The 25,757-nt window shown below is 35.0% G+C and overlaps 1 protein-coding gene and 1 pseudogene across 1 annotated transcript in view; both read left to right on the top strand.

The window, feature by feature from the left end:
- Window positions 1–25,757, top strand: part of ATG2B (autophagy related 2B) — an 84,147-nt gene that overhangs the window by 22,879 nt on the left and 35,511 nt on the right. The window contains exons 7-23 of the mRNA NM_018036.7: window positions 5,962–6,058; window positions 6,590–6,775; window positions 7,808–7,962; window positions 8,053–8,158; window positions 8,826–9,087; window positions 10,829–10,979; window positions 11,697–11,789; window positions 11,928–12,116; window positions 14,541–14,814; window positions 16,465–16,567; window positions 17,728–17,923; window positions 18,209–18,351; window positions 22,608–22,765; window positions 23,146–23,318; window positions 23,780–23,930; window positions 24,880–25,079; window positions 25,229–25,309. Coding sequence (NP_060506.6) covers window positions 5,962–6,058; window positions 6,590–6,775; window positions 7,808–7,962; window positions 8,053–8,158; window positions 8,826–9,087; window positions 10,829–10,979; window positions 11,697–11,789; window positions 11,928–12,116; window positions 14,541–14,814; window positions 16,465–16,567; window positions 17,728–17,923; window positions 18,209–18,351; window positions 22,608–22,765; window positions 23,146–23,318; window positions 23,780–23,930; window positions 24,880–25,079; window positions 25,229–25,309 — 2,718 coding nt within the window. The remainder of the gene's footprint in view (window positions 1–5,961; window positions 6,059–6,589; window positions 6,776–7,807; window positions 7,963–8,052; window positions 8,159–8,825; window positions 9,088–10,828; window positions 10,980–11,696; window positions 11,790–11,927; window positions 12,117–14,540; window positions 14,815–16,464; window positions 16,568–17,727; window positions 17,924–18,208; window positions 18,352–22,607; window positions 22,766–23,145; window positions 23,319–23,779; window positions 23,931–24,879; window positions 25,080–25,228; window positions 25,310–25,757) is intronic.
- On the top strand, window positions 16,676–16,772 carry LOC124903430 (uncharacterized; annotated as a pseudogene).

The following is a 25,757-nucleotide window of genomic DNA, read 5'->3' as shown; positions in this document are numbered from 1 at the left end:
GCGTTATCTTTTTGTGCTTGGCTTATGTCACTTAACATAATGGCTTCTAGTTCCATTCATGTTGTTACAAATGACAGGACTTCATTATTTTTTATGGTTGAATAATATTCCATTGTTCATATATACCACATTTTCTTTATCCATTCATCTGTTGATGGATATGTAGGATGAGTCCATATTTTGGTCCATATATGGGTCCATATATAGGATGAGTCCATATATATAAATACACACACACACACACACACACACAAAGATGTGTGTGTGAATATATATACGTGTGTGTGAATATATATCATATATGATATATATATTCATATATATCATATATGATATATATATTCATATATATCATATATTCTATATAGCATATATTCATATATATCATATCACATATAGCATATATTCATATATATCATATATATTCACTATGTGAATAGTGTGCTGTAAACATGGCAGTGCAGCTATCTCTTTGGTATATTGCTTTCCTTTCTTGTGGGTATATACCTTATGTGGAATTGTTGAATCATATGGAAGTTCTATTTTTAGTTTTTGTTGTTGTCCCTTTGTTTTCTTTTTTCAAAAATTTCAGTTGTTTTTGGGATACAGGTGGTTTTTGGTTACGTAGATGAGTTCTTTAGTGGTAAATTCTGAGATTTTAGTGTACTTGTCACCTGAGCAGTGTACGGTATACTCAGTATGTTGTCTTTTATCCTTCACCTCCTTCCTAACCTCCCCTCCTCCTGAGTCCCTACAGTCCATTATATACCTCTGTATGTTTTGCATTCTCATAGCTTAGCTCCCACTTATAAGTGAGAACATATGGTATTTGGTTTTCCATTCCTAAGTTCCTTAACTTAGAATAATGGCCTCCAGTTCCATCCAAGTTGCTGCAAAAGACATTATTTTGTTCCTTTTTATGGCTGAGTGGTATTTCACTGTGTGTAAATATATATACATATATTTGTATATGGTGTATATATATGTGGTGTATATGTGTATGTGGTGTGTATGTATACCACATAAATATACACCATATATATATACACGCACCACATACATATATACACATGTGTGTATATACACCACATACATATATATGTGTGTATATATATGTTTGTGTATATATGTGTATATATGTGTGTGTATATATGTATACACACACACACACACACACACACACACACACACTGTGGAATTGCTGGGTCGAATGGTAGATCTACTTTTAGTTTTTTAAGGAATTTCCATACTGCTTTCCATAATAGTTGTACAAGTTTACATTCCTACCAGCAGTGTAAAAGTGTTCCTTTTTTACGATGTCCATCCCAACATCTATTGTTTTTTGACTTTTTAATTATGGCCATTCTTGCAGGAGTAAGGTGGTATCTCATTGTGTTTTTAATTTGCATTTTCCTGATGATTAGTGATGTTGAACACTTTTTCATGGTTGTTGGCTGTTTAAATATCTTCTTTGAGAAATATATAATCATGTCCCTTGCTCACTTTCTGATGGGATTATTTTTTTCTTGCCGATTTGTTTGAACTCCTTGTAGATTCTGGATATTAGTCCTTTGCTGGATGCATAGTTTACAAATATTTTCTCCTACTCTGTGGGTTGTCCATTTACTCTGCTGGTTATTTCTTTTGCTGAGCAGAAGCTTTTTAATTTAATCAGGTCCCATTTATTTTTGTTTTTGTTGCATTCACTGAGGTCTTAGTCATGAATTCTTTGCCTAAGCCAATGTCCAGAAGAGTTTTTCCAATGTTTTCTTATAGAATTTTTATGGTTTCAAGTCTTATATTTACATCTTTGGTCCATCTTGAGTTGATTCTTGTATAGGGTGAGAGATGAGGATCCAGGTTCTTTCTTCCACATGTGGCTTGCCAGTTTTCCCAGCATCATTTATTGAATAGGGGGTGTTTTAACCAATTTATGGTTTTGCATTTGATGAAATTCAGCATCCCTTTATGATAAAAACTCTCAACAAAATAGGCACAGAAGGGACTTACCTCAAAGTGTAATAAAAGACATATATAACAAACTTACAACCAACATCATACTGAATGGGGAAAAGTTGAAAGCATTCCCCCTGAGAACTGGAACAAGACAAGGATGCCCACTTTCACCACTTCTATTCAACATAGTACTGGAAGTCCTAGCCAGGGCAATCAGGCAAGAGAAAGAAATAAAGGACATCCAAATTGGAAAAGAGGAAGTCTAACTATAGCTGTTCACCTATGCTATGTCATATACCTAGACAACCCTGAAGACTCATCAAAAAGGCTCCTAGATCTGATCAATGAATTCAGTAAACTCCTAGGTTACAAAATCAGCGTACACGAATCAGTAGCAGTGCTATACACCAACAGTGACCAAGCTAAGAATCAAATCAAGAGCTCAATCCCTTTTACAATAGCTGCAAATAAAATAAAATAAAATAAAATACAATACCTAGGCATATACTTAACCAAGGAGCTGAATCTCTCTACAAGTGGAAAACTGCAAAACACTGCTGAAAGAATAGATGGCACAAACAAATGGAAACACATCCCATACTCATGGATGGAAATAATGCATTTTGTGAAAATGACCATACTGCCCACAACAATCCACATATTCAATGCAATTCCCATCAAAATACCGTCATTTTTCACAGAACTAGAAAAAACAACCCTAAAATTCATATGGAACCAGAGAAGAGCCCACCACAGCCAAAACAATACTAAACAAAAAACAGATCTGGGGTTATCACATTACTGGACTTTAAATTATACTACAAGGCTGTAGTTAGCAAAACAGTATGGTACTGGTATAAAAATAGGCACTTAGTCCAATGGAACAGAATAGAGAACCCAGAAATAAAACCAAATGCATACAACTAACTGATCTTTGACAAAGCATACAAAAACATATTTTTTAGTTTTCTGAGGAACCTTCATACTGTTCTCTGTAGTGGTTGTACTAATCTGCATTCCCACCAAAAGCATATGAGGGTTCTCCTTCTCATAGCTTTGACACTGTATAAAGACACTGTATAAATACAACTATATTTGCCTCTTAGGGAATCATATTGATCAGTCTTATGGAGAACCAGGAAACTTGCATTTACTTAGTTAAAAATGTATTTGTCAAGCATTATTTTCACACCTTGAAAACAAATTTTCTACATAATCTCTATAAAACGTAGTTTTAATTAAGAAGATACCCGGATTTATTCATTTGTTTATTTACTGATCTCCCTAGTTGTAGATGTTCAAGTGACTACCACATGCCAGCCACTTACCTGTCCCAGTTTTTCGGACAGATGCAAAGATGAATCAGATACAATCTTTGCCTTGGTAAAAGATACAGTAAGGGGTATGGAAATTGCTGTGGGGACACAGAAGAGGGAGCCACTAAGTACATGTCAATATACATAAAATGATTTTTCAGAGGATTGAAGAATCTCCGGAAATCCCTCCTTGGATTGGAACCTCTGACTAGAGTTGGAGGAGGAGGAAAGTAGAATGAAGACACTCCTATTACTGATTACTCAGGCCCCTTCTGTTTACTGCTCTGTCCTTCTTCAGATGGTGCAAAATCCTTTTACAATGTCAAAAGGCCCTTTACAAGTAACATGTTGGGATTGTTAGCAGAACAGGTAGTCAAAAGATTATGTAAACTCTACAGGGAATCCTCTGCTGTGGTAACATCCTTGGGAAACTATACTAATAATATGTTTATGTCTCTGGGGAATGCATTTGCCATGTCTGTAAGGAGGAAGCATAGCAATAACTTTTATAGTTCTGTTTTGGTTAATTATATGTAGTCCTCAACATTTGTATGCTTTTATATTTATGTAAACCCAAACTTTTGTACATGATGTGTTGATTTGTACAAATGTCTTTTATAATAAAACATTATGTATACATTTGTACAAATGTATAAATATATGTTACTTTTAGAGTTCTGTATATTAGTGACAAATGAACATGTGGAAAAACTGCGTAGTGGCATTGTGTGCCAGCCAATATTTAATATTTAGAAGTACTACCCTTGCCTATAGAGTAATTTTTGTGTAATGACTTGAGTATTTGAGTATAATTTGTTTTTATTTAATGCAAATGATGCTAAATGGAAAAAGACAAGTTCTGGATTTTAGTATTGAGAAACATAGATCTCATAAAATATAGTGTAGATAAAGATGGCATTAATTAGGGGTGCTGAAAATGTCAGATCTTTAATCTCTTTCTGATGTACATTAGCCTTAACTCTTTCAACTGTGGATTCAAAATGTTATGAAAGATTTCATGTTTTTTTTTTTTTTTTAAGTTCTCTGAATAGTATTCCCTTGAGTAGTGTGTAAGTCTGTGTTTCATGTATTCAGTTTTAGCCTATGTTTTTAGGAATGCATTTTATTGAAAATTGGAGACTGCCCGTATTGAATTTAGAGATGTTTTGTTTCAGTTACCATGTTACATTGAGTTGAAATTTGTTTTTTAGTTATGTTCTTTTATATTTTCAAAAGAAAGTAGTAAGTACTTTGTTCTTTTTATGCCAAACTTAGAATGTACAAATAATGAAATATTTCTATGAAAATTTTAATTTCAATGAATTAGAAATGAAACTCTTGATTGGCCATTCTAATGAAAGTCAGAGATTGTGCTTTCAGTACAACAATTGTGAAATTATAAAACAATTTTTAAATTTGGCATGTAGTTAGAAACACATTTTCTCTCTCCTCTCAGCCTTAGGTTGGCTCATGGCTTGGGATGTCAGTAGTCAGGAAGGTGCCCCGTAAAATAAGTTGTCTGTGGGCAGAACAAGGGAGCCATGCCGTGGAAGGAGTGAGGGCTTTTCCTCCAGGTCAGCCTAGGTGAAAATCCAGCTCTGGATCTGCTACATGGGCCTTGTGCAATTCACTGAATCTTTGTGAACTCATTTCTTCACCTATAAAACAGGAACATTAATAAGAATTAGAGGAAATATATATAAAAGCACTTAGCATGGTACCCCAATGCTAAAAATAAAAGTGATAATAATGATTTATTTTACTGGATTTCTTAGGTCATCGAAATTTCTCAATCATTATGTAGTTTATTTGATTTTTTGTTTGTTTTGTTTTAGAATCAGAAGGAATCCCTTTTTCTCCTGGGAAGAAGTCATTTTCTAGATATAAATGTTTTGTTAATTCTATTATTTTTCAGTTGCAAAATGACATAAAAATAATAGGAGTCAGTGTTAAGAGGAGGCGAATGAAAAGTAAGGCAGGGATATTCTGCTTTTTAGAATGTAATATAGAGAATAAAGTAATTGCTTTTGTCAGAGTATTCAGGAATCATCAAGAGAGTGGGATGGAGCTTTTATTTCTAGATGGAAAAGTGGGCAAAGAGTTGGAAAAGAGAAAGGAAGTCCACCTAAGCACCATCTTCTGTCCACGTTTCTGTAGTGGCGTCCCCTTGCATGCAGAGCGGGCTTTGTGGACCACAGTAGGTACTGGGAAGGCACAGTGTTGGAGGAGAAGGTCCTTACATGCTCTGCTAGAGTATGATTGGTAGTGTACTTAAGAAAGCCAACTTTATTTGTTCTTGATGTGAATCAGACTTTAAGGATTATGATTTCAGTCTTTTGAAAGTCAATGAATACTGTGCTATTGCTACCTTAATATTCATCCTTGGAGACTATGTCTTAAGTCCTCCTCAAATACTTTTAAGTACTCAGAAGACTTGAAGAGACAAAAAGTATAACATTGGACTCGTCAGCATGGAATTTCTCAGGAGGGTTTTTCCTTTTAGAACAACAGTTTGGTGGCCTTTAAGTCTTTTCATTTAGATGGTGTGAATTAGTAGAGAGAGTCTCAGATGAAGGACTCCAAGACTAAAGACTCAGTATTCATCTCAGTTCATTAAAATATACTGACGTTTATGGTGATAAGGTTATAAAGAATACTCCTCATGAATAGTTTTTTTTTTTCCCTTAAGTTGGATGTTGATGGACAGATAGACTCTATTCATCTACTCCTGTCACCAAGACAGGTGCACTTGCTTTTGGATATGTTGGCAGCTATTGCTGGACCAGGCAAGTATAATTCTGTTATTATATATACTTGTTACTTTTTTAAATTTTAAAAAACTTTAAAATATGTAATGTATGTACATGTAGGAAAGTCTATTATTTTTGAATATCTGAATTGAAAGAAGCAAATAAGAATGTTAAGTAGTAAAATTTGATTGGGTGTTTTGAATGTGTTACCATGGGACATATTCACTTCAGATTATGTGTGTCACATTCTTAACTTTTCTAAAATTGTTCTGACTTCTTTGGTTGGGGATAGTACTTCATACAATCGAGAAAGTATAATTCTTGAACACAGTAAGTGGTACACATTTTAAAATATTTTCAATGGCTTCTATCTATCAGCGATAAGATTTTGGGATTCCTGGCTAGTTGCTTAAAGCTGTTGCTTAGAGCTCTGACTCACTAAATAGCAGTGGTTTTGCACTGTGGTGTTAAGTTGCCATTGTTGTTCCATAAATGGGTTTTGGGAAAGAAATGCTTAATTAACTCCAAATTTAATTACTGTTTTGGTTTCCTTTTGTATGCTTATAGAAAATTCTAGCAAAATAGGGTTAGCTAATAAAGATAGGAAAAATCGACCCATGCAGCAGGAAGACGAGTATCGAATTCAGATGGAATTAAACCGGTATTATTTGAGAAAAGATTCCCTCTCTGTGGGTGTATCTTCAGAGCAAAGCTTTTATGAGACAGAAACAGCTCGTACACCTTCTAGCCGTGGTAAGCAACTCAAACTGTTGACACCAGAATCATATATTATAATCATAGATAAAATTACACTTAATTTTGGCTGCTGTGAACAGAAGTTTAGGAATGAAAGAACAAAAAGATCCACATTGTAAGAAATCCACAACTTTTAATTTACGATTAATCTAATCACAACATTACAGTAATGCACCAGCACATAGGTGCTATAGTATATTTTTTTGATTTTGATTGTGTAGTTTTGTTTTCTAAATGATTTAGTCTAAGGAAAACCAATTTATAAAAATGTAAATTTATGTGAAAGTTAAATTAGGTAGTTATATATTTTGTCAAATTATTATGTGCTCATGTAATGATTTCTAGATTAAGAAACTACTGAACTACTAAAGTTTAATAAGGAAACTTTCCTTTATTGATCTTTCCATCAGTTATATGTAAATAATGATCTCTACCCAGCTTACTTTACATTTATAGGTGTTTCACAATGTATAAATGCTAATAACATAAATAATATGGATCAATTTAAGTATGGAATGTTGGACAAAATAAGAAATCAAACCCTACTCAAAAAATTTTGGCCATAATAAACTTCATTTGCATGAGAGTAAAACAATTCCGAAAGAAGGAACTGAAATGTAAATGGAATTCCAAATAATGTTTTTGGCTCTGAATAAAAGAAATAACTGTATCCAGATGAAACTAGAGGTTGCAATATATTTATACTATTTTAATATCTGATTTTAATTCCTAAACTGGCATATCACATTAAAAATATACCAGGTAATACTACATTTATATATTTAAAACAAAAGAAAACATGTTCATCAGTAGGGTAGCTTCATTTTTTATTAATTTATATTGAGTTTTTACTATGCCATTAATATTTTGGACTCATAAATTACACCACTGTAAGTAACATAAAATTTGGGGCATCGCTGTATCTCATATAATCTGAAGGAAGAGGATTGTATTAACGTATATTAACTTACTTAAAAGACTTGAATTGGTGGGATTATAATACAAGTGACATAGTTTAATTCTCTCTAGAAGAAGAAGTATTCTTCTCCATGGCTGATATGGACATGTCTCATAGTCTCTCTTCTCTTCCACCCCTTGGGGACCCCCCAAACATGGACCTTGAGTTATCATTAACTAGTACATATACAAATACCCCAGCAGGATCTCCATTAAGTGCTACTGTGGTAAAGTATTACTTAATTTTTCTTCTAGACTGAAAAGTTGCTTCTAAAATTCTACACTTCATTCATGTGCTTAAAAAAAATCTTTTATAGCTTCAGCCCACTTGGGGAGAGTTCCTTGATCATCATAAAGAACAGCCAGTAAGAGGGTCAACATTTCCATCCAACCTAGTTCACCCAACACCTTTACAGAAGACATGTAAGTAAAAATAAGACATTTGTTGTTAGTTTCCGCTGGAATTTTTAAAATGCCATTCTACTGGTGCTTTTCTTTCTTTTTTTTTTTTTTCTGGTCTTGGCCATTTACAAAGTTCAGAAAGCAAAATGAACCATTGTTAAACAATTCACTGTGAAGTGTTTTAGAATAGTTGCTCATTTATTGTATTCTTTGTGTATTTAAATACTTAAATATTTTTAGTTAAAAGTACACTGTAAGTTTCATATTATTATTGCAGTTCAGGACCCTCAGTCAATCATGTGATTTTTGTTTCACTATTTACATTTTCCTTGGAAGAGAACCTCAGGTTTCTTTTCTGCAAAATTTAATTGATATAGACCCAAGGCTTAAAGGAAAATTTGGTGAGCAGTTTTTGGTTAATCTTGAGTTTTCCAGTATGTTTTTATTAATATAAAAGCTTGGTTTGTACATTTACTGTTGTCACGTACTCTTGTACTTTAGTACAAAAATCTTGGATGTAAGATGCAGCAAGATAGCAGTTGATTTTACTTAAATTAATTGTTTAATATCATTCAAACTGTTGTATGATCATCTGTTTTTTAAAGCTAATAAATGAGTAAATGTTTTATAATTTTAATAGTTTTATGTGTCAAATTTTATGTATATAATTTTAATACTTGTATTTTAGCTCTCCCATCTAGATCTGTTTCAGTGGATGAATCAAGGCCTGAACTTATTTTTAGACTAGCTGTGGGAACTTTTTCAATCTCTGTGCTTCACATTGATCCTTTATCTCCACCTGAAACGTCACAGAACCTTAATCCATTGACACCTATGGCAGTAGCTTTCTTTACTTGTATAGAAAAGATTGATCCAGCAAGATTTTCAACAGAAGATTTTAAGTCTTTCCGAGCAGTGTTTGCAGAAGCTTGCTCACACGATCACCTTAGGTAAACTCTCACATATGTATTAATGATCCTTTAAACTTCCACATATGCTAATGATCCTTGAAAAAGAACCACATGTGGACTTTTGTATCTGCCTATCTGCATTTGTTTTTCTAATTCACATTTTATTTGTAAATGAATGGAATGAGTGAAGTTTTCTTGCAGTGCTGCAAAGGTGTTTAGAATCTTTCATTCAGGTTATTTGGCATGCAGAATAACAGATCTAGATAATAGGAGTTTTCAAAGTGATCTCTTTAGTTCCCTGCCCAGCTCTTGTCAAGTTTCTTTAACCACATTTTGCCTTCATCCCTATTGACACCACTGCAGTCGTGAAAACAGTTCTTATTGTCACTGGCATTAGCAGAGATGACAGTGGTGATGAAAAATAAAATAATACTATTGGAACTGATCCATATGCCACTGGCCATGGGGTGGGAAACATTACCAAGGCTGATCCTGAAACTTGGATGCTACGTTTCAACTTCTGCTTAAGAAAAATCAAAGCTATCCAAATAGCCAGTGAGTGATCCTTTCATGGGTTGAGTCTTAACAGATGAGGAGATAATTGAATTTGTAATATAGTTGGTTTTTTTGTTTTGTTTTGTTTTTTGTTTTGAGACAGAGTCTCACTCCATCGTCCAGGCTGGAGTGCAGTGGCGCAATCTTGGCTCACTGCAACCTCTGCCTCTCAGGTTCAAGCTATTCTGCAGCCTCAGCCTCCTGAGTAGCTGAGATTACAGGCATGTGCCACCATGCCCAGCTAGTTTTTGTATCTTTAGTAGAGATGGGGTTTCACCATGTTGGCCAGGCTGGTCTCGAACTCCTGCCCTCCAGTGATCCACCTGCCTCGGTCTCCCAAAGTGCTGGGATTACAGGCGTGAGCCACCACGCCCAGCCTTTAGTATTGTTAACATGCAAACTCTGTTTTACAATTTTAATGTGAAAGTGATCTATAAATTGTTGAATGACATCTTATACGGTGGTTTAAACATATCATATATTAGTATTTTTAGAAAATACTTTGGGCGTTTATTTAATCTTTTTAACTTTTTTAAAGTATGAAAATTGATATGAAAAGTAGTTTTACACCTAATACAAGAAAAACTCTACAGGTTAGGATTATAGTATTTATACTCAAACTGTAAAAACATTTTGTTTTCTTCCACCCCCCTTTTTTTTTCTTGTATTTTTAAGAGAGATGGGGTTTCACCATACTGGCCAGGCTGGTCTCGAAGTCCTGACCTCAGGTGATCCGCCCACCTTGTCCTCCTCAAGTGCTGGGATTACAGGCATGAGCCACTGTGCCTGGACTTTTTTTTTTTTTTTTCCCATTTTTGACAAAGTTTCAAACATCTGCCAGTAGGAAAATAGAACAAAAGCGGCAGAAAATATAGGTAGACCTCATTTGGGCTTCACCGACTAAAGTTTTTGAAATATTGCATAATGTTTTTAGATAATTTTAAGAGACTATTTCATATATTTTACAGATCTGAAAGATTTTGCCTTTGCAATGTAAATTTTTAAATGTGGAAGACGAAGGGCAGTGTTGGGAAATAAACAGATCCTGGAAAATTTCCCATCAACAGAACTGATTTTTTATCTTAAGGAAAGGGAAATTTGAAGCAATCTTTCTGGTTAATTTCCTTAGGAGTATTAATTATTGATAACTTGAACTTGTCAGACTAGGTGGATAATTGTTACATTTTAACACTAATAATCTTAAATGGTGCATTTTTTATAATAGATTTATAGGTACTGGCATTAAAGTATCCTATGAACAAAGACAAAGATCAGCTTCCCGATATTTTAGTACTGATATGTCCATTGGGCAAATGGAATTTTTGGAGTGCCTATTTCCAACTGATTTTCATTCTGTTCCTCCTCACTATACAGAGGTAAATATTGAATACTTTTTCTTTAAGATTATTTTTTAAATCTACCTTGCTTTTTAATGATTGTATGAGGCAATGATTTTCTTTAAAAATGTATAGAAAGCCATAGGAGGAATATTGTCATTTTCTTTTTGCACTTGTGTTCTATAGAAATATATTTAAGAATGTCACTCAACATCGTTATAAGGATCTGTTAGAATTTTAAATTAGAGTTGACTTGTTTAGGAGTGACAGGTGGGTTATGAGAGAAATGACTTCATTTCACTCATGTTCAAAGCACTCTTCATTTCAGAAGAATTTGATTATTGAACAAATAATTATCGAATGCCTGCTGTGTGCTAAGCATTGTTTAAGACAAGTTAAATGTCTTGTGTTCATTCACCATTTTTCTGATATTTTTCCTAATGTAAAAGTGTGACCTAAAGAAACTTTAGAAAACTGTCAAAGTTATGTTCATTGCTGTTACTTTGACCCTTTATAGTGTTTTATTTCAAAAACACTTTCTTGGAAATGAATTTATTTGAATCCTCGCCTACATTTTACAGATGAGATATCACATGAGTTAACTAACTTGTCTAAGGTTCACATTGCTAGTAAGTGACAAAAATGAAACTTAAAACCAGATTTCTGACTTCAGAAAGCCTTTCTCATTATTGTATGGGCACCTCTGTAAATTCTTGTGATTAATACATTTAATTTATCTTCATCTTTACTTTTAAGCTTTTAACGTTCCATTCCAAAGAAGAAACTGGTTCCCATTCCCCTGTGTGTCTTCAGCTTCATTATAAGCATTCTGAGAATAGAGGGCCCCAGGTAAGAGATCTTTTTCTATAATTGCCACCTGTAAATTTTAATCTGATATATATTTTGTCACAATTATAAGGTTTTAACCCAATTATATAGTAGTTTTTAGTGATTGTATTAATGCCTTTTCTTTTTTTTTTTTAAAAGGGTAATCAAGCAAGACTTAGTTCAGTTCCTCACAAGGCAGAATTGCAAATTAAATTAAATCCAGTGTGTTGTGAGCTGGATATCAGTATTGTGGACAGGTTAAATTCCTTGCTTCAACCACAGAAACTTGCCACAGTAGAGATGATGGCATCCCACATGTATACTTCATATAATAAACATATTAGTCTGGTAAGTATTCAAAAGCTGCAAATACTAATCATAATTATGGTTAGCTAATAGGGTTATTGAGATAATTTCTGAACTTAAGTATTTTTAATAGATTAAACAGTATAATTAAAATAGCATTATTTGTAATAATAAAAAAAGGAGACATCTTTTATGTCTTGATAGTAGACTAGCTAAATAAGTTTTTGAGACACACTGAATGAAATGTTATGTGGTCATTTAAAATGATGGTTATGGCCAGGCGTGGCGGCTCACACCTGTAATCCCAACACTTTAGGAGGCTGAGGTGGGAGGATCACTTGAGGCCAGTTCGAGACAAGCCTGGCCAACATGGCGAAACTCTGTCTCTACTAAAAATACAAAAATTAACTGGGCATGGTGGCACACACCTGTAATCTCAGCTACTCAGGAGGCTGAGGCATGAGAATAGCTTGAACCCAGGAGGCGGAGGTTGCAGTTAGATCGCATCACTGCACTTCAGCTTGGGTGACAGAGCGAGACTCTGTCTCAAGAAAAAGAAAAAGAAAATGATGGTTATGAAGATGGTATAACAACATGAAGAAGGCTCATCAAGGATTAAATGAAAAAGTAGAATATATTGCTTTACATAAACTTGTCACACCTGTGTAAATAAAATTGATGTATAGAAAAAGAATGGCGAGAAATATGCCAGTCAGTAGCATTGTTTATATTACAGTGGAATTAGGTTTCCTTTACTTTTCATGTCTATCAGAGTTTTTATAAGCTGTGATTATAACGACTTTATAAAATTTTATCTATTTATACATTTGATAAGTTACTTGAACTACCTAAAACATGAAGCCCAAACAATATGGGATATACTTTTGAAAATAATCTATTGAACATCACATTATATCACTTTTACTTGCATCTGGTGCCTGGGGTCTTTTCTAAGCAAATTAAATCAGTCAAGTTTGCAAGAAGTCTGTTAGGAATTTTGGGGCCAGAGGACCAGGATCAGATGGAGACAACCTTAGTTAAAAAGAAAAGGAAAAAGATATTTTATTTTTCTACTTCTTTGCTTTTCTCTTAGTATTGAGTATTCACATCAAATTAGCATTGTTTATTATTATTATTATTATTATTATTATTATTATTGAGACAGACATCTGTTGCCCAGACCGCAGTGCTGTCATACGGTATCAGCTCACTTCAGTCTTGACCCCCTTGGCTTAAGCGATCCTTCTACCTCAGCCCCCCAAATAGTTGGGGCTACATGCATGTGCCACCACACCCGGTTAAGTTTTTATATTTTGTCTCCCTATGTTTCCCAGGCTGGGCATTCTTTGTTATTGTTATCAATTGCTAGTTATTTTAGTTTCTGTGGGGTAGTCTGTATATTAGCTGTAACTATATATGCAATTGGATGATGGTTTAATCTGTTGGGTTATTTTTGCCTGAGAGTGGTGGTTAAATATTAGCAAATCAAATGGGGAGAGTTAGAATAGATTTGTTAAAAATCCAAGTCTGGATGGGTGTGGTGGCTTGCACCCATAGTCCCAGCAACTCAGGAGGCTGAAGCAGGAGGATTGCTTGAGCCCAGGAGTTTGAGACCAGCCTGGGTGATACAGCAAGACCTGTTTCGAAAAAAACAAACACAAAAATTGTAAGTCTAGCATATGCAGGGAGTTTTCAAATCATGGAGGTTAGAAATTGATTGAAGAAACTGAGGAGTGTTACAACGTAGAGTGGAATAAAGCTTTTTTAGTTTCAATATATTTTAGAGAAAAAATAGAAATAGATTTCTATTTGAATGGGATGTTCTTTGACCCTTTTATTGTAAGATGGCTTTGGGTAAAATGGTGCATATATCTTGGTCTCATAGAACCATTTGATGAGATCATACCCTTGGATTGGATAGGAGCTCAGAGTGCGTCATTTAGTGAATATTTATTTAGAACCTGTGATGTGCCAGCCTCTGGGTTTTATCTTAGAAGTACAAAGTTGAGTCAGCGATTGTATTTGGCATAATTCATCTGATTTCACATTGAGTATTTAAAATCATATATTGGTAGAAAAGTCTTTCAAACTGAATGTTGGACACTACAGTGATTTTTAACCGTATTGAATTTGTTGGTAGGCTAATTTACACCGTATTCTTTATAAATTTATAGTAAGATAAATATTAATATATAGTGCCTTTGTCTTCACTTTGGCTCAGTTTTTAATTTAATTTTTTATTTCAGAGTTTAACTTTTGCCAATAGTTTTCACTTTTGCTAATAGTTGTTGCATTATAAAATTTTTTTACACTAAATTAATATGGTAGTGGTTAATTTGAATTGACTTTTAATGCATTATACCAAATGGGGAGATAGTGATTATACATATTGTAATGTTGAATACTGTGTAATTTATGTTCATTTACTTTAATATTTTGGCATATTTTTGATGTTTTGTGTTTTAGCACAAGGCTTTCACTGAAGTGTTTCTAGATGATTCACATAGTCCTGCAAATTGTCGGATATCAGTACAAGTTGCCACACCAGCATTAAACCTTTCTGTTCGCTTCCCAATACCTGATCTTCGATCTGATCAAGAAAGAGGACCATGGTTTAAGAAGTCACTTCAGAAGGAGATCCTTTATTTAGCCTTCACAGATCTAGAATTTAAGACTGAATTTATAGGAGGATCAACCCCAGAACAAATTAAATTGGAACTTACCTTTAGAGAACTAATTGGTAAGATTGAATGTGCCTGTAAAAGAACCATCCTAGATAACAAACAACTGCTACTGAAACTTAACATCACAAAAGTATCTGACAGCCCTGCAATATAGTACAATTAAAGAACATTATGTTAAAATCAACAGCAACAATGTCTTTCTAGTATTGTATGCAAATATGTGATATAGGTAATTTTTTAAAAACTAAGGATGATGATTCATTCACTTTGTTAAAATTCCTGTTTACTGCAGGAGAGTGTAGTACTTTAGCCTACATTTTTATTACCACCTCTCGTTTATTTATTGTAGGACTGATAATAGAACTTGTTAAGTGCCACTGTATGTTAAATATTATGCTAAGCACTTGATACACATTTTCTTGTTTTTTTAGTCATCATAATCACCATATGTTTATTTTTCCAGTTATTTTTATAATTTAATAGATGAGACCATCTGTGGACCTAGAAGGAAGTATCTACCAAGATCATGTTGTAGTCAATGGCAGAATCAAGATTTGAACCCAAGTCTGACAGTGGAGCTTGAGCTTTCAACCATTACACTAACTAATCGCTAGTGACTTTTATTTGTAAAACTCGTTTTGATTTTTTCTGCATTACTTTGTTTTTGTCAGTTAATGAAGGGAATTTATAAAAACTTTAAAGTGAACCAAGTCTATGAAGACCTGGAAAACCTTTTATCCTGTGGTTCCTAGACCACCTGCCTCTGCCACGACACCCTCTCTCCGCAACCACACTCCCACCCCTCATGAGAATAGTTTGCAAAAGTTCCCCTTCTTTTCTCTCTCGGTTTTACGTATCTTAAGAGGTATTTAAAATTGATTGTTGTCAATTATGACTTCATGAAAGGGCCTTCAGGTGTTGTGAGATCATCCCTTATCTCCAGTGGTGAGAAACTCATTATTCTGGAGGAAAGCCATTTTTCATTTGTAAAATGGATTGAAAAAACACGTATAGAATTTTTGTTGTTGTTGTTTTTGTTTTTCAGACAGAGTCTTGCTTTGTTGCCCAGGCTGGAGTGCAGTGGCATGATCTTGGCTCACTGCAATCTTCATCTCCTGGCTTCAAGCGATTCTCGTGCCTCAGTTGGATGTCACCACACCCAGCTAATTTTTGTATTTTTTAGTAGAGACGGGTTTTTTCCATGTTGGAGAGGCTGGTCTCTTAACTCCTGACCTCAGGTGATCCGCCTGCCTCAGCCTCCCAAATGCTGGGATTACAGGTGTGAGTCACCGCGCCCAGCCCGTGTAGAATTATTTTGAACAGAGGTGTTTCTTACAGTGTTTGGTACAAAATACATATTTAAGAAATGTAGTTATTTTTCTAGTGGTAGATTATATAGACTTTATGAAGAAATAATCACTAATAGCACTTAGTAAGTGGTAAGTGCTTGCTCTATTTACTATGTCATTATGTACTTTATGCAGTGTACCTTGGTACTTAAGAATTTGAGTTTGAACACAAAACAGAATCTTTAATTTATTGGCTCATTCTGTCTACCACACGTGCACATGAAACCAGAACAACTGAAAAATGCTGTAGAACTTAAGGTTGCATTATGTTCCTGATTGAGAGGATCTTTGCTCCTCCATCTCTTCTTTTAGTACTTGAGAAGAAGCACATTTCAGTAAATCAGTCTTTTTTTTTAGGATCGTTCCAGGAAGAGAAAGGAGATCCATCTATTAAGTTTTTCCATGTGTCTAGTGGAGTAGATGGAGATACAACATCGTCAGATGACTTTGACTGGCCACGGTGAGTAAGCAAATGCATAGGTTTAATAGGATTTTCCTTTTAAAAATAAAATATTCTTTTAAACCAACATTTTGTCTATTAAATATAAGCTAAACATGTCCATCCTTGATTCTTTTGTGGTTCATAAGCGTGATGATTGGGTGTTCACATGAATGTGTGAGATGTGTCACCCTCAAACCTTGTTGTGCTATTTTTCTGCCTGCCTTGCTTTACTCCTCCTCTCCACTGTCTATTAGACCGATTAGATTCTTAGGACAGATGTTGCTCATACACACCTGGTAATAAGCATGAGTTTAGAGCACAAGTTTCATAAGGACTGGATCTACTTCGGTTAAATAATTCAGAAGCACAATTTATATTAGGATATGTATCAATTAGGAAAAAAGCCTGTGATCATTTACAAACCAAATAACACCACTACCTAGGGAATAAGAGTTGCAGTTGCAGCACAGCTATTCTCTTTGAGGGTTCCATGCCTCCTTATAACAATGGGTGGATGTGGTAATCAAAGGAGAATGAAAAGTCTGTGCTAGAGATGTTCTGTAGAAGCTTAGGAAAGGGATTACTCTGGAGTAAAAAGCTCATTAGTTTTTGTAGTCATAGGCTGCATTAACTCAGTGATCTTTAGGTTTTGTGGTTATAAAACAGAAACAGCACCAGCCCTTTATTATTGAAATTACTAGATGAAAACATAACTTTGTTGTTAGAGTTTTGAAACTGTTTCCTAATCAGCTTCTCCCTTTTCCCTTTGAACAACTGATATAATATGAGGTTGATATAACATGAGGTTTCTTAGGTAGACAAGTAATTTATTATAGCAGAACAGACTATATGTGAGAAGATTTGGTTTAATGATAACTAGAATCCTTAGGTAAAGTTTGCTGACTTTTAATGAAATTTAAAAATAACCTTTTTGCCCCCTTCAGTTACCCAAGTATAAAATGTTTATGTCTTTCTGTTACTTACTTGTTTCAGTTCCACACTTGTAAGTTTACAACATGTTCATAAGTGGGTTACCTTAGACATAATTAGACTTTGTAGAGAAGTTTAATTCTATCATTAAGATTTAACCAGTGGTGTGTGTATTAATTTGCACAAAAGTTAAAGTTTTGCTGTTTACACTTAGATCTTGGTCTTTTTAAAATTGTCTTTGCTATCAGAATTGTACTGAAAATAAATCCACCAGCCATGCATTCCATTTTGGAGAGAATTGCAGCTGAAGAAGAAGAGGAGAATGATGGTCACTACCAGGAGGAAGAGGAAGGAGGTGCTCATTCCTTGAAAGATGTTTGTGATCTAAGAAGACCAGCCCCATCTCCTTTTTCTTCTCGTAGAGTAATGTTTGAAAATGAACAGGTAAAAGTGTGAGCAAGCTACAAAGGAATAATACTATTATTCTCTGTCATAGAGCAATGCTTTTGATTTTTTATTTTTAAAAAAATGCCTTGTGTACTGTTTTTGCTAGGTCTTAAACTTCAAAATTGAATAATACCTATTTTTTCTTGGTGTATATTTTCTCTAGTTAAATGTTTCATGCTTATTTATTTCTCACATACCAAGTCCTATGGATAGGCTAAGAAGATGCTACTACTATTTTAAACATGGATGCCTTTTTTTTTGCACTGAACTATTATGTTTTAGATGGTGATGCCAGGAGACCCTGTAGAAATGACAGAATTTCAGGATAAAGCAATCAGCAATTCTCACTATGTGCTGGAACTTACGTTACCAAATATTTATGTAACACTACCTAATAAGAGCTTTTATGAGAAGCTTTATAATAGGTGAGTTTATACACATTTAGTTGAATCTTTGGAATCAGATTTTCTAATTGCCTCCCTGATTTTCCTCTTCCCCCTTTCCTTTCCTTGCCTGAATATTATATGCCATCTCTGTGTACTTTGTGTGGTGTTGATGGTGACTATTGCCGTTATGATGTGCTATTGTCATAGCAGAGTTTCCTAACTAGCGTGGTGCCGGGTGTGTGAGATATTTATTTCCTCAGCCCTGAGGTTGGCTGATTGCCCTCTGTCAGCTTACTGCAGGTTACCGATCAAATACAATTTTTTTCTTTATGTGCAGTGACGTGAAGAGTTAAGAGATGCTAATACAGCTAGCCAATGCTGGAGTAGAATCAGAACCCCATTCATTGTACAAGAAGCATCTTTTCTTCAGCATTCAAAAAGATATCTTGTTGGAATTCAAAATTCTGTGAACGTGTACAAAATTTAAATTTATTATATTTAGATACCCCTCAATATTTATGCCAGGCAGGTATTTTGATACTAATGGAATTCTAGGTCATAGACTCTGAAGGCCTTGAGCAGTTTATCTAGCCTCTGTAAGACTCAGCATCCTCTTCTGTAAAATGGAGATGATCCTGGCTCCCACCTATAAGGGTTGTTTGGAGGATTAAATGATATAACACTTGGAGAGTTCTGAGAATAGTGTATGGCATATCGTAAGAACTTAGTGGTTGTCTGTTATAATTCCTACCCACTGAAGGGATTTCTCCGTAGCATACCTGAAAGATTGTCATGTGGGTTTCTAGAAAAAGAAGTCCTTAGTGTTTGTCATCACTAGCTTCCTACATGTAGACAAGTTATTCTAGTTTCCATTAATCTTCAGAAACTTCAGACTGTTGTTTCTGCTGTAGGTTTACTTGGTATCAGATACCACTCGGTATTTATTCCTTAAATGTTAGTAATAAACCCTGGGTTTTCTCACTGGGTGCTATTGACTTTTGCTCTTAGAATCAGAAAATTAAGTTCCAGGATTCTTCTAGGGTTCACATTACTTCAGTGGTCTTGAAAATGAGATTCAGAGAACAGTCCACTCTGGTATAGGAAGAAAATGTTATCACTTACGTTTAACTTTAAAAATAATCTTTTAAAATTTATATTTTTATATTTGTTTTATAATATACATTATAAATAGCACCTAATGTATATTCAATTCACATTAGAGAGGTTTCAAATTGGTTTTAAATGTTGGGGTTTGTTTATATATGATCTACAGTTTCAAAATGACTGATCTCTAGGCTCCTCCTTTTATTTCATAGTTCAGGGGTGTCCGCAAAGAGCTGATGTATGTGCAAGGCTGAGATTGAGGGAAATGAAATGACTCTTTCAAGGCCTAGCCCAGAGATCAAAAACACTTGACCTATTTTTTTCTCATTCTGCATTGACTGAGCAGATTGCTTTTGATTAAATCAGGGCATCAAGAACAGTAATACATACCTTAAACATTCACTTTATAAATGTATATTTATTTACCACTTCATTTCTAAATACAGGACAAGGCCTTTTCTTTGAATATGAGCCACTGATTGGAATTCTATGTTGTCTTTTTTTCCCCCTTTCCTTTTTTTTAATCCTGCATGTGGCATCTGACTATTTTGTCTTTTTTTTGCATAAAGTGTACCCAGAAGGCATTGTCTACCGTTTTTAGTTCCAGTTTCTTTAAAGTGAAGTGAAAAAAATTTTTTCAGAGATATGTAAGAGGAGAATCTTTGTAGGTTTTTAAGATTTTTTTTTACCCCAGTCTGCATTAATTAAAACGGTACAGTTTTTATTTAAACTATACTTAAAAGTAACAAATACAAGCAGATTTGAAGCCAGACACAGTTGGTCTTTGGCGAGTATATGAAATATATAACTCCACTGATAGGAACAGTTCTCAGCTCTACTAGAGAGATGTCCACCAACAGCAGGCAGTTAGCATATTGGGGGCTTCCGTTGTTGTGGCACTTGGGGGTAATTGGGTAGCTGACTGCTTAAGTCAGGGAGTATGTATTAGAATCGTGTATTAGAGTATGTATCTGTTAATCTGGATAGTTGGTTTAATGGATTGCTTAAGAGAGTTTCTATTCTATTAAATACCTTCCACTAACCACTTTTTGGTCTCTCAGGCCCCTAGAATTGCATAAATACTGAAGCGCTCCCTCACTTTCTGGGATCATATAAATCTCATATCTAACTTCCTCAGGGTTTGCATCCTTTGCCCCTTATCCGGCTTTGTATTTTCAAATTAATACTGTTTAAATAATTTTCAAACATTCTCAGAGAAGATTTGCTTTACAGTACGAAGAACTCCCCGTGCCCTAACCATCTGAGAGTAAGTTGCTGACCTGAGTCCCTTCAATGTTTAGTACTTGAATGCATATTTCCCACATACAAGGACATTCTACATTAACTGGTAATTCAGCTCTCAGAAGCAGGAAGCTAAACTGGATACGTACTACCATATAATCCTCATACCCCATTCAAGTTTTACTTAATATGTCAATACTATCCTTTTATTTTTCATTTTTTTTTCTGAGCAGGAGTTATAACCAACTCTGCCTTTATATATTTAAAATGTTGATTTACTCCTTTAGTGCCTTGGTCAACAGGCTGTTTTTAGCAGTATGGTTTTAGGTACAGGAGAATGTTTTCTGTGTCGAAAATTGTTTAAAATAGAATATAAAAAAGAATTCTAATTGCTTTCATTAAATATGTACTGAGCATCTATTTTGTTTCAGCCTCATAGACACAGAGTCATGGTGATATGTCCTTATGTATCTTAAGCATTGTTTTCTTTCTTGATATTTCTTGATACTACAAGCACCATCCAATATTCGATAGTACTAATGGTATCAAGACTGTGTTTAGACCAAAATATAAATAAGGAGAACATAATAGGTGAGTGGATTATAATCTCCTGAGAGTCACAATCCTCAGTCCTGGTGTACACCTTCTAGGACTTCAGAAGCTCAAGAATTGTCCTGGCAGTGGCTTCTCACAGAAGGGGGCAGGGCTGCCTCACCACGCGGCGCCTTGACCGGTATTCACACCAGGCTTTACGATGAGTCTGGGTTTTGGCAGCACTTCCATGTGAATCATTCACTGTCCTCACCAACTGTCCGTGCCTGTTATGTGACAGCCACTGTGCTAGGCACATGTAGAGATGATCGACACAAGTCCCTCTCTTGGGCGGCTTGCAGTCTAAAAAGGGGAAACGAGAAAATTCAGGAGGGTGCTGTAGGTGCTGTGATTTAAGTGGGTCTGTGTGAAGCATATGCTGTGGGTCCAGATCTTACGATGGGTTTACTAGAAGACGTGGTGAAGTTTGAGTTTTCTTGAAAACTTCGAGGATGGATGAGGGGAGGAGGCTAGGACAGGGGCATCTGAGCAGTGACAGGTAGTTCTTTGAAAAAGTAGGATGTGGTGACAGCCTAGGTATGACATATGCCTTCCCATTGGTTGCCAGTATTGATTGGGCTAGTCTCGCTAGTCATAAGGGTTTTTCTCTCCTTATTTTTTGCTCCATATGCATTCTTCATCTCATGAAGTCTTCCCAGTGAAGCTGTGCTTTCTGTTGCTGATGAGAGAAAAATCAGGTATTTCTAGGGAAAGAACTGAATTGATCCCACAGATAAATACTTGCCTTAAAAAAAGAACTGAATTGGGAGCTGGATGTAATCTACATAATCTGGACTTTCATCCCCATTTTTCCACTAATTAGCCATGTGACTTTGGGAAGGTCACATAACCTTTATGAGACAGTTTCTTCAGGTGTAAAGTGAGAATAATGATTCTGCCCTGGACACCCCACAGGACTGAGGGGAGGGTCAGTGAGATGATGCAGGATCAGTTCCAGTTTACAAAGTGCTCTCATATAGGTGAGCCGTCCTCCTTTTCTGTTCTTTGTGGGTTTTTATTTTTCATGAGCTTCTGTTTCTAAGGTATATTTTGAAATGTAATATGAATTTGTAATTTGATGTATATAACATAGGTAAAATTAGGCAAGTATCTATTTAGGTATCTAATTGTGCAGATTCTTTTGTCACTGCCCTGCATTATAGCCATATCAGTTATTTTTTCATTGAAAGAATGCAGTTGTTATTTTTGTTGTTTTTCCAAATTCTTGTAGGATCTAATTTCCATTTTGCCGTTTAAAAAATTATTGTTCATACGATCTTTTAAAAGGATTTTTTTTTAAGTTTGCCTTCTGTTGAACTAGGAGTTAAGTACTTATTTTTCAACTTTTGTCTTTATAGGATCTTTAATGACTTGCTACTGTGGGAACCAACAGCTCCTTCACCAGTGGAGACATTCGAGAATATTTCCTATGGCATTGGGCTTTCAGTAGCCAGTCAGCTCATTAATACTTTCAACAAAGATAGTTTTAGTGCATTTAAATCTGCAGTTCACTATGGTAATATATTTTTAATTTGTTTTGATTTAAAATGCCTAGTTTATCAATTAACAAAGTACTAACCTTTGAATTGTGGATTTAAAAATCTTTATGTTTCATTGTAACTATATTTTGCAATTTCTTTTAGTAATTTATAAGAATATTTCCTTATTTCTATCTGTATATTGAGAATATCATTATCACTTAAATATGTTCTCTTTAGAATGATAGTGTGCACATTGTTTGAAGTTCAAAGCTAAAGAGAAAAACAGTATGTATTTCTGTGTTCACACCATATTCTTTGTAAAACTAAGCAGGTTATATAAAATATTTTCATGATCATTTTTATGTTGCTGTTTTAATATGCTATCAGAATGTAATTGTATGTTTATTTCTCATAGATGAGGAAAGTGGATCTGAGGAGGAGACTTTGCAGTATTTTTCCACTGTTGATCCCAACTATCGTTCTCGCAGGAAAAAAAAATTAGACTCTCAGAACAAGAACTCTCAGAGTTTTCTCTCAGTTCTTCTGAATATTAATCATGGATTAATAGCAGTGTTCACAGATGTGAAGGTGAGGTTTACAAATCCGAAGTGTTTTTTCAAATGTATCTTACTTTAAATAAATCTGCTAGGATACATATCTAGTGATTGAAGTATTTGATATTTTGAAGTTGTTTCAGGGACTGATGAAGACCAGTGTCCTGGGGCAAACCATGATGATAGCAACTTTGGGGATTTAGCTTTCGTTGCAGATCAAACTTTGTGGGGCTCTCCCTTTGGAAAACAGGTGCTAATTCTGCTTCTGGGGTGACAACAAAGTACAGAGATTCATCTGATAGAAGAGGTTCCACATAGCATTTAAGTTATCCAGTTTTATTTTATACCATGATATTGAATAGTTCAAGGATTAGACTGCTTTGCTGCAGTATGGGAGATTTTCCTAAGCTGAATCAACAAAGAGCATCTCAAGGAACATGCTTACTTTTCTGCATTTAAGTAATAACTTCTGTGTTTTTCTGATCTTTTTACTAGCAAGATAATGGAGATCTGTTGGAAAACAAGCATGGTGAATTCTGGTTAGAGTTCAATAGTGGTTCATTATTTTGTGTGACAAAATATGAAGGTTTTGATGACAAGCACTACATTTGCCTTCATTCTAGCAGTTTCAGTCTGTACCATAAAGGTAGGACAAACACGTGTCTTGGTTTCTTCTCTTTAGACATGTTTAAATTTCTTGTTTAACAAAGAAAATCTATTGAGAACAGAACTTTGGTATTAGAAATTATTTTCTGTGGAGGGCTCTCATTCTGCTGTCAAAGTAATATTTACAAATTAGAAGTCAACTTCAGGTTCTTTTTTTGCAATAGCTTTGTTGAGGTATAATTCACACACCATACTCATTTAAAGTGTACCTTTCAGTGGTTTTTAGTATTTCACAAGAGTTATGCAACCGTCACCATAGTCAATTTTAAAACATGTTTATTACCCCATGAAGAAATTTCATACACTTTAGTGATAAACTTTCACCCCTTCCGCTCTCTCCTTCCCGTAAACACACTAACCTACACTCTGTTTCTATGGATTTGCATATTCAGAAGTTTCTTATAAATGGAATCATACAATATTTGGCCTTTTTGACTGGCTTCTTTCATTTGACACGCTTTCAAAGTTCATCCAAGTTGTATCTGTACTTCATTCCTTTTTATTGCCAAATAATATTCCACTGTAAAGATAGATCACATCTTATGTATCCATTCATCAGTCGATGGGACTATATGTTCTTTATTCTTCTTTAAGGAATATTTCCTTTTGGTTCCAGATATAGAACCTACCATTTTTTGAGCAGTTACCTGAGTTTACCTTGTTTCATAGACATGAGATGTTTGTGATAGTTTTCTATTTAATTTTCCTAGCATTTCAGAATCTTTTGTTTCTTTAAGCTGTGTACGGTCAGTCACACTAACATTAGCAAAGAGGAGTGGATTATTAATGCCATGCTGGTTTTTGTCATCATGCCTCCTTAAGTTATATTCAGTGGAAGTACGTGGATTTTTGTTTTGAGTCATGTAAGTTGATTAGCTAATTTCAAGTAATCATTTTGTTACTATTTTTACCTCAATGTGGATCTCTAGGCATAGTGAATGGAGTGATTCTCCCGACAGAAACACGACTTCCCAGCTCAACCCGCCCACACTGGTTGGAACCTACTATTTATTCCTCTGAAGAAGATGGCCTCAGTAAAACTTCTTCAGATGGAGTTGGAGGAGACAGTTTGAATATGCTGTCTGTTGCCGTTAAAATATTGTCTGATAAATCAGAGTCCAATACAAAGGTTTGTGTTTTGTACTTTTATGCCACTGTTGATTTGATTCTAGCTAAAAATAATTACATAAAAGGCAACATATTTATTTTCTTGGAAAAACTTTTGAGTTATAGGATTACATAGGTGGTAAATGTCATTCTTTGTCTTGTTCTGTATAGGAATTTCTCATTGCCGTAGGACTGAAAGGAGCCACTCTCCAGCATAGAATGCTTCCTTCTGGGCTTAGCTGGCATGAGCAGGTAAGAGAGCTGTTATATATGTATTAATTTATTTAAAAATTTGTGTTGACATCTAATACACATACTGAAAAGTTTGTAAGTCATAAATGTTCAGCTCAGTGAATTATCATTAAGTGAATACTACGGTGTCACCACCTTTTAGGTTAAGAAATAGAACAGTATTGGCCGGGCACGGTGGCTCATGCCTGTAATCCCAGCACTTTGGGAAGCCAAGGCAGGTGGATCACCTGAGGTCAGGAGTTCGAGCCCAGCTTGGTCAATCCCGTCTCTACTAAAAATACAAAAATTAGCTGGGCGTGGTGGAATGCACCTGTAATCCCAGCTACTGGAGAGGCTGAGGCAGGAGAATCGCTTGAACCCGGGAGGCGGAGGTTGCAGTGAGCTGAGATCGTGCCACTGCACTCCAGTCTGGCGACAAGAGCGAAGCTCTGTCTCAAAAAACAAAACA

This window comes from Homo sapiens, chromosome 14 (genome assembly GCF_000001405.40).
Source record: "Homo sapiens chromosome 14, GRCh38.p14 Primary Assembly".
Taxonomy (NCBI): domain Eukaryota; kingdom Metazoa; phylum Chordata; class Mammalia; order Primates; family Hominidae; genus Homo; species Homo sapiens.
Note: the sequence above shows the minus strand (reverse complement) of the source record. Positions and strands in the feature narration are given on the sequence as shown.